Source organism: Homo sapiens, chromosome 5 (assembly GCF_000001405.40).
Source record: "Homo sapiens chromosome 5, GRCh38.p14 Primary Assembly".
NCBI lineage: Eukaryota > Metazoa > Chordata > Mammalia > Primates > Hominidae > Homo > Homo sapiens.
Window position 1 is genome coordinate 108,700,383 of NC_000005.10, and position 10,112 is coordinate 108,710,494.

The 10,112-nt window shown below is 39.2% G+C and overlaps 1 annotated feature.

The window, feature by feature from the left end:
- Positions 653-853: a silencer, noted in NCBI's record as "peak5405 fragment used in MPRA reporter construct". NCBI's record gives its function as "represses an SCP1 promoter by STARR-seq MPRAs in K562 erythroleukemia cells {active_cell/tissue: K562}" and the evidence as "EXISTENCE:reporter gene assay evidence [ECO:0000049][PMID:32103011]".

Genomic DNA, 10,112 nt, shown 5'->3' on the forward strand with positions numbered 1-10,112 from the left:
AAAAATTAGCCAGGCATGGTGTCACATGCCTGTAATCCCACTACTGGGGAGGCTAAGGTAGGAGAATTGCTTGAACCCAGGAGGCAGAGGTGGCAGTGAGCCGAGATTGCGCCACTACACTACAGCCTGGGCAACAGAGCGAGACTTAGTCTCAAAAAAAAAAAAAAAAAAATTAGCTGGGTGTGGTGGCAGGTGCCTGTAATCCCAGCTACTCAGGAGGCTGAGACAGGAGAATCACCCAAACCTGGGAGGCAGCGGTTGCAGTGAGCTGAGGTCACGCCACTGCACTGTAGCCTGGGCAAGACAGCAGGACCCTGTCTCCAAAAAAAAAAAAAAGAAAGAAAAAAAGAAATTAAAAGGAAGGGGCTTGGGCCTCCTCCTCCTTCACTACAAGCAGTGTGTGGAAAACATCTATTAGAACCCATGACTTAGAATCAATTAGAACATATAGTCACATGATAAGAACACAAATAAACAATTTTAAAATAGCTCTAAACCTTGTCCTTTGGGGAAATTGTGGTTTGGCTGTTTACTACTTTAGTTTATTTCAGTTCTGAAATCCAGTTTGTTACCTATATAAATAAAATGGAGTCTTTGCTTGTTTATCACTTTATCACAAAAGTACAGCTGAACGGATTGTGGAGTATGTTTGGGAAGGCCTGATGCATTAAAAAAAAAAAGATTAGGTCATAAGGGTGCACACACAATTCATTTTGAAACGTCATTGGGGTGGCACTTCAAAGAGACAGGGAAGTATCCTATCCTCCAGAACAGCTGCAGGCTTTCAGATTTGTAGCAGTGGCCCAATTACATGCACACACATAGCTGTGTGTCTCCAGCACGAGGAACAGCAGCAATTATTTATGTGACAATGGTTGGTGATTCTCCAGAGAAATGCTGGGTTGGCCTGGCTAACATTGCAAATTTTTTTTAATATGTGAATTTTTATCAATTCTGGCATATTCTTAGAAATGGATATCATTTTAAGTTTTTTCTTTTTTTTTGTAATATTACAAGCATTCCTTAAATTGAGAATTTAAAGGATGAAAACTATTTTATGATACAATTTCACTGAAGCAGAAATCTATTTATTTACGAAATAAACTGTTCTAACACAACAAGGAAAAGTTTCTGGTTATTAATTGTTTTAATTAATTTGTATCTTGTTATCAATCATAGTCCCACCTATATCCATGGGCCCAACTCATGGGTCATTTGTAATTTCAGGGACCTGTTCTTGTAAACACCAAGTGCTTCCTGAAATGCTTGTACCTCCTGCTCAGCCCATGTGCGCTACAGGTCAGAAGTGCCAGGGAACAAACATTTTTTTAAATTATTGTTTTAATTTTTATTTTACTTTAAGTTCTGGGATACATGTGCAGAACGTGCAATTTTGTTACACAGGTATACGTGCACCATGGTAGTTTGCTGCACCTATTGACCCATCATCTAGGTTTCCTCCCCTTGTCCCCCATCCCCTAATAGGCCCTGTTGTGTGTTGTTCCCCGCGGTGTCCATATGTTCTCATTGTTCAGCTCCCACCTTATGAGTGATAACATGCGGTGTTTGGTTTTCTGTTCCTGTGTTAGTTTGCTGAGAATGATGGCTTCCAGCTTCATCCATGTCCCTGCAAGGAACGTAATCTCATTCCTTTTATGTGCATAGTATTCCATAGTGTATATGGAATTTTCTTTGTCCAGTCTATCATTGATGGGCATTTGGGTTGGTTTCATGTCTTTGCTATTGTAAACAGTACTGCAATAAACATAAGTGTGCGTGTGTCTTTGTGGTAGAATGACTTACATGCCTTTGGGTATATACCCAATAATGGGATTGCTGGGTCAAATGGTATTTCTGGTTCTAGATCCTTGAAGAATCGCCACACTATCTTCCACAATGGTTGAACTAATTTATATTCCCACCAACAGTGTAAAAGTGTGGAATGAACATCTTTAGGAACAACGGTGGATTAAAATGCCAACTTCCGGCCGGGCGCGGTGGCTCACGCCTATAATCCCAGCACTTTGGGAGGCCAAGGTCGGCAGATCACGAGGTCAGGAGATCGAGACCATCCTGGCTAACACGGTTAAACTCCGTCTCTACTAAAAATACAAAAAAAAATTAGCCGGGCGTGGTGGAGGGCACCTGTAGTCCCAGCTACTCGGGAGGCTGAGGCAGGAGAATGGAGTGAACCCGGGAGGTGGAGCTTGCAGTGAGCCAAGACGGCACCACTGCACTCCAGCAGGGTGACAGAGCAAGACTCCATCTCTAAATAAATAAATAAATAAATAAATAAATGCCGGCTTCCTTGCCCTTGGTAGGTCAGTTCTGAGCCATGTTCTGCAGTCTCTTGGAGAGTTCCAGGGCACTGAGCTTACATAGTGATGTATTGGTTAATACTCTTTTTGTCAGCTGCCCTCCCTTCTCTGTCTACCTCCTCACACCCTCACTGTGTTTCCCAGAATAACATCTCAGATGAGTTTACGTACATTCAAAACGTTATCTCAAGTTTGCTTTGGGGAGAATCCAAACAAAGATAAATTTAAACCATTGGCAATTTCTTACCTTGTTAGCACTTTTTTCCTCTTTTTTTTAATATCCAGTTTGGTGGTGAAAATCATGAGTTCTTACATCAAGCAGGCCTAGATTTAAATCCTGGCTTCTCCTGGACTTAGCTGTGTAATTTAGGGCAAATGACTTAACCTCTCTGAGCTTCAGTCTTCTGCATCAATAAAGTGGGGGTAACGGTAGCACCTATTTTACATTGTTGTGTCTTGTGTTCATTAAATTAGATAATACACTTAGTTCAGTGGCTATACATATAAGAAGTACTCAATAAATGTTAGCTGTGTTTATCTTGGCTTAATAACGTCTTGTTTTGTTCTAAAAGATTTGTAATAGGTCTAAGTTCATCTAAAGTAATTAATTAGGTTTCAGATGGGCTCATAGGGAAGGTAAGTGGCCACTCACTGAGAATGATGTGGGAAGAAAGAGCTGGAAGAATCTTCCTTGCTAGCAGCATACTTACCTACATCCCTGTCATTCACTATCTGAATGGTGAGAAAGACAGATGCTCTTGTCATCGTCACCTATCCCTAGGCACAGCATAAGCCACACCGTTTCCATGACACCCTCCCTCTTCCTTTCTCTCGATGATAGATGGCATTTACTCTCCACACTACGCTTTTTCACACTTCACCATATGTGAGATCTTTGTGGTGATTAATTTTATGTGTCAACTTGGCTAGGCTACGGTACCCATATATTTGGTCAAATATTATTCTAGATGCTTCTATGAAAGTACTTTTGGATGAAATTAATATGTAAATTGGCAGACTTCCAGTAAAGCAGATTATCCTCCATAATGTGGGTCAGCCTCATCCAATCAGTTGAAAAACCCTTTAGAGAAAAAAGACTGACTTCCCCTGAAGCAGAGGGAATTTTACCAGCAGAATGTCTTCTGACTCCAATTGCAACTCTTCTCTGGGTGTCCAGTCTGCCAGCCTACCCTCCAGATTTTGGGCTTGCCAGCCTTCAAAACTCCATAATCATTTCAGCCAATTCTTTAAAATCAATCTCTCTCTATCTCTCCCTCTCTGTCTATATATATATATATATATATATATATCACACACACACACACACACACACACACACACACATATATATATCACACATAAACACACATACGCGCACATATATTCTATTTCTCTGTTGAGCCCTGACTAATACATTCTTCATACATTTTTCATACACATTCAAAATTACTGTTTTAGGAATTTTTAGATACTGTTCTGTCTTGTACTCTAATTGTAATTTAAATTTTTGATATGTATTTATCTATTCTTTCTAAAGTGATTTTAAATTATTTTAAGGTGTAAGGAAGACTGTAACTTGTATTATTTTCTTAGTATAATAGAAATAATCTTTAGATGGCATTGAAGAACATATTTGCTAGTATTTAATATTATTTTGTTAAAAATTAATTTTAATTTAATAAAACAAATATTTAAGATAATATTACACAGTAGCATAGAAATTATTTTTTCTTCAGATCTTTTGATGAAAGTAAACATCTCAGCATTAGGAAAGCAAATTATGTCAGCAATTTAAAACTTCATTGTTTATTACTAGGAACATGCAGCCTATAGATATTTATTGCACAAAAAATAAATTAAATAAATTAAAAATCACAACCTTGCGCTAGGCACAGTGCCTCATACCTGTAATCCCAGCATTTGGGAGGCTAAGATGGGAGGATCACTTGAGCCCAGGATTGTGATACCCCATCTGTACCAAAAAAATAAAAAACTTAGCTGGGTATGGTGACATGCATCTGTGGTCCCAGCTACATGGGAGGCTAAGACAACAGGATCGCTTGATTCCAGGAGGTTGAGGCTGCAGTGAGCTATGTTCCTGCCACTGCACTCCAGTCTAGATGACAGAGTGAGACCCTGTTTCCAAAAAAAAATAAGAAAAGAAAATCACAACCTTAGTTGTCTGGAATGATAGAGGAGACTTACAGAACCATAACACAGGGAGGGCTCTTATCAGTGCTCCATCCTCATCACTGCAGGGTATGAATGAGACTCTCAGGCCTAAAAGGACACGGAGGCCTAAAAGGCAGTGCGGCAATGCTTGAATTAAAATTGAGGCTTCAGTGTCCTTTTTTTTTTGTTTGATTTTTTTTGAGACAGATTCTTGTTCTGTTGCCCAGGCTAAAGTGCAGCAGCACGATCTCTGCTCATTGCAGCCTCTACCACCTGGGTTCAAGCGATTTTCTTGCCTCAGCCTCCCGAGTAGCTGGGATTACAGGTGTGCACCACCACACTCAGCTAATTTTGTGTATTTTTAATAGAGATGGGGATTTGCGTTGGCCAGGGTGGTCTCGAACTCCTGACCTCAGGTGATCTGCCTGCCTTGGCCTCCCAAAGTGCTGGGATTACAGGCGTGAGCCACTACCTCTGGCCTTCAGTGTTCTTTTTAAATCCCTATCATTAAGCAATTCAGTGTTCTTTATACGTCAGCGTAGCACTTCCCCATAAAGCGGGTGGCACTCAAGGACCTGCCCAAGGCAGCGTAGCGCCTCTGCTCTTGTTACTATTGTCCATCGTGGAGACCCTACACAGTTCTTTCAGCTGCAGCCACCATTGCCACTAGGGATACCACTGCACTCAACACCCTCGAATGCCTGCCCCAAGGTTCCTGAAACTCCTATTCCTCTTGATTCGTGGTATCAAACAGCTACTGATTCTGGCTAACTTAGGCTAAAAACAAAACGAATTTATTATTGGAGCTGAGCTGGTAGGCCTGCTGAAACGAGGCTGAAAAAATGGATAGGGACCAGTAGGGTCAAGCTACAGTCACAATCACATCACAGTAATGGTCTGCTTGGGATGCAACCACTAGACACTCACTGCCACCTTGTGAGACTCCGCAATCCTGGGCACTGGCCACCCAGCCTGAGCCATCCTCTGAACCTCACCTCACATAGGGACATCCAATTCACCAAAACTGGGTCATGTTCACTCTACCTTCAACCCACCTGAGTGCACTGGCTGCTGGGAGAGGGAATATTTGCCTTCAGTTTCAATCAAGGGATGCAGGGCCTTCATTGTTTTTCTCTTTTTCTTTTTTTTTTTGAGATGGAGTCTCACTCTGTCGCCCAGGCTGGAGCTCAGTGGCATGACCTTGGCTCACTGCAACCTCCACCTCCTGGAGCTGGGATTACAGGCACCCACCACTATGCCTGGCTAATTTTTATATTTTCAGTAGAGACGGGGTTTCACCATCTTGGCCAGGCTAGTGTTGAACTCCTGACCTCATGATCCACCTGCCTTGGCCTCCCAAAGTGCTGGGATTACAGGCATGAGCCATGGCGCCCGGCCTATTTTTTTAAAAATCATTTTAACAGGAACTTTTTGAAAAAAATCATTGTTTTTAGTAGAAATTAGAACTAGGATTAAAGGTACATATAATTTTCATGGAGCTGAAGGTTGAACTGAGTATGTCATGATAGATTGCGAAAGTTACTCTAATTGTTTTAAAACCTTAATATATTCACAACCACAGTTGTAGTTACAACTGTGGATTGTGAGTATGATAGGAAAAAATTACATAAAAATTATATTTAAAAATTAAAGTGTAAGTTTTTAAATTTCACAAGGACGTTACAAAGATACTGTTCTGTCTCGTATGGTAATTGCTTAAATTTTTCATATGTATTTATTCTTTCTAATATGATTGTAAATTCCTTTAGGGTGTAAGGGAGACTGTAACTTCTATTATTTTCTTAGTCCCCACAGACCTACAGTATTCTGTGAGTAGCAGCCAGTTAATGAATGAATGGCTGGCTGGCTGGCTGGCTAGCTGACTAAATGAATATATACGTGCACTATGCGTTGCTTTTCCAGTAGTAGATTTATTCTAATCTGCAGTCACTTTCCTGCTTGTTATCATAATGAGAACACATTGACGTGAGGTAGAGTCTGTGGCTATAGAACATGTTGTGGGTTTTCCTAAGGTTGGGATTCCATCTTTTTTGACTACACCAAATATCTGAGTTCCCTCACCTCAGACAGATTCATGTTTCATGAATTATTGCTTAGTCCTGAAAGAAAGAACAAATCCACACTCTAGGAGAATGGCAAGGACAGCCTCTGGAGATAGATGATTGAGATTCAAATCCAGGCTCCTGAAAAAACAAGCCCTGTGACCTTGAGCACGTTCAACACCTCTCTAAGGATTACTTTCCTTATTTGTACATGGGGATCATAATGGTGCCTGTTCCTCAGAGAGTCATCCTGCGGATTAAATGAAGGAACGAAGCTTGGCCTCTGGCAAGCACTCCAAGAACGCTAATTATTGTTACGCCTGCTTTGGGTGGTACAGGTGGTAAGAATGGTGCACTACTGAGCTCATAGATGCCGTCCGCTGGTGGCCCAGTTACATTTGCTCTGAACTGTGGGCCACACCCCTTCTTGTTCTGTCCTCACTGCAGGCCTATTAAACACAGTGAAGCCACAGTGGGGCGGAGATTTTGGTAGGAGGCATAAAACTATAAACCTGGCTTTCGTTTAGGTTTTAAGATAGAGGAATAAAGGTATTTCTAAAACATTTCTGTATGTCACAGAGATAGGAGAGCAAATGGGGATGTGGGGCACCCTTCTGTATGATTTAAAACATTACATGATTAAACATTTAAAAATTTTTAAATATATCCTTGTGGACATCATTGAGCTACTAATGCCATTTTGTGTTTCAGCTAGTGTGGGGTGAGTTTTTGTTTATTATTTATTATGTAAAGATGTCTACATCTAACTTATAATGCCACCAGTTTTACTTCATAATAAGTTTATTACTTAATATGTAAAGATGTCTACAAAGTATAACATCACCAATTTTACTTCTTAGAATGTATTGTATTATGACACATGCTCAAAGCCATATTTAGACTGATACTTATTGGCATATTGTTTGTAATAGGAAAGTTCTATAATAGGTCTATGTATCACACACACCCCACTCCCACAGTTGGGGGCCAGTTAAGTCATTTATAGTGCATTGGTACTGTGGGGCACTATGCTTTTGATGGTGAATTAGCACTGAGCATATATTTCTACACCTTTCTATGTTCCTGCCCACAGGAAGAAACAGTTTTCTCAAATTCTCTTGCAGCTAGAGTTCTGGGTGAGAATTTGCTGCCACCAATGGGAAACATATGTGTGATATTTGGAAGTTGGAAGTAAATGGAGGCCTCCTTTGTATGAGCTGCAAGCTCATTAGTGTTTGCAGCTAGACTCAGCACTCCAGTGTCTAGTTATCAGCTTTGTCATAACCTAGAGGCATCTCCCTAGATGTAGCAGTCAGTGTCTAGTCACCAGCTTCAGGGGAACTGAGGCAATTGTGGGGCTCAAGCAGTGGAAGCAGCAGCAATTTGCTGACCTGTGGATCGCAGCAGTGTGCCCTTAAAATCAATATCCAGTAGGAGACCCCTGTCTTCTGCTTCATGAACCCATCCACAATTTTGTGAGTACCCAATTTCCTGTTTTAAATCCCTTTCTATCTGAAATACCTAGAGTGATTTCTGTTTCCTGTACTAAATCCTGATGGATACTAATACTATGTGGATATCAAGAAGAATTAAGATTTATATGGGCTATGGAACAACATACTATTTATGACATTACAGTCCAAATAAAACTAGAGAATTGCATGTAAAGTATACTTTCATTTGTATAAGAATAAAGTGTGTTTATGAACATACATACATACACACATATGCTTGTTTATACATAGAAAAATTCAAGAAGGTTATATAAGAAAATGAAATCAGTAATTGCTTCTAGGAAAACAAAAATGGGGTCTGGGATGGGAGAGAGATTTACATTTTCTCTATGTACAATTTAAACTGTTGGGATTTTTTTACCATGTTTACAAAATACGTTTTTTGATTAAATTTTTTTAATTACGAGAAAATGATAAGTCTAACAATTTGAAAAAGAAAGAAAAAACATCCACCAACCAACCAATCTAAAAGATATCACTTGTGTTTTTATATATTCCCTCTGAATCTTGGGTGATTTTTTTTTACAGTGAGATAGTTACACATACAACTTTATAATTGGCTTTTCTTCCTGCTTACTTATATAACTAAAATTTAGGAAGTACTTACCAAGTTTTGGGCATGGTGATAAAGCATTTCCTTGAATCATATTTCATTGAAATTGAGATGTTATTGATTGTAAGATGCACCATTTCCCTATGTACCATTAAGAAATAACTTTTTTTGAAAAACTGCTCACTAAACTATAACACAAACAAGACATAATTTTTTTTTCTCCAATTGAACCACATGTCGTTGAAAGTTAAGCAACTTCTAGAGTAAATAGGAAACTTCTGACATATTGGTGCTTGACATTTTAATGATGGTTCTACACAAGGCATGAATTGATCATACCAGCCTCTCATCACTTTGAAATTCTTTTTTATATAGTCTTAAGATTACACAGTTTCTTTGCCATTGGCTGGTATACGATACGCTCATACCTCAGTCACAAAATATAACACAGTTTCCTCTTTGGGTTGTTTTGCATGAATAAGTGGAATTGCAGTCTTTCCTTCAGGAACAAATACTTGCTTTACTAAATATCAAATTTAAACCCTCCTGCTCTACTTCGATGCCATTGTCCATACACAGTAATGTTTGTTTCCATGGTGAATCAATGTAATTTTTAAGGCACTTTAAATGGTAATTAAATTCAAATTGTATGGCACCACAATGTATATAATTCAACTGATGAAACAACTGCAAGAAAAGTGACAGCCAAGTTTACATGTGTAAGCAACAGCAATTCTGTGATTGTAAGACAATCAATTGTAAGTCATGGCGCAATATCAGTTAAAGTGTGAAAAAATATTCTCTTCAGAATAGATAAAATATAGTATTATTCACTAAATCCTCAAATAATCTTTAAGTCGATTTTATTATTCCTCACATGAGAAAACTGAGAAACAAAGAGATCATCAAGATGCATAGTTATTAAGAAGCAGGTCTTTTTAAAAGTAGTTCCTCTGGTTCCAGCGCCCACAAGTCTTAACCTTTAAGCTATGTTGTCTCCTTGTTGTCCTAAGACTTTTCCTTACATAACAGTCATTCTAGAAAATTTGAAAAATACAGAAATTATAAACAAGCAAATAACAAGGCTATTACAATTTTATCACCTACAGGCAGTCACTGCCAACATATTGATGGGTTTCTTTTAAAATTTCCCATATATCTTTTCATATAGTTGAAATTATAGTGGAAATACTTTTTCATGTCCTACTTGATTCACTTAGCATGTTGTATTGGTTCGCTGTGGTTGCTGAAAAAAATTAGTACAAACTCTGTGCCTTCAAACAAAAGAAATTTATTCTTTCAAAGTTCTGGAGGCCATAAGTCTGAGATGAACGTGTGGACAGGGCCACAGCACTCCCGCTAGAAGATCTAGGGAGAATCCATTGTTTGCCTCTTCCAGCTTCTGATGATCGACAGCATCCTCAGTCTGAAGCCATGTCATTCTGATCTCTGCCTGGTCTTCACACTGATTTCTCCTCTGTGTCTGTGTCTT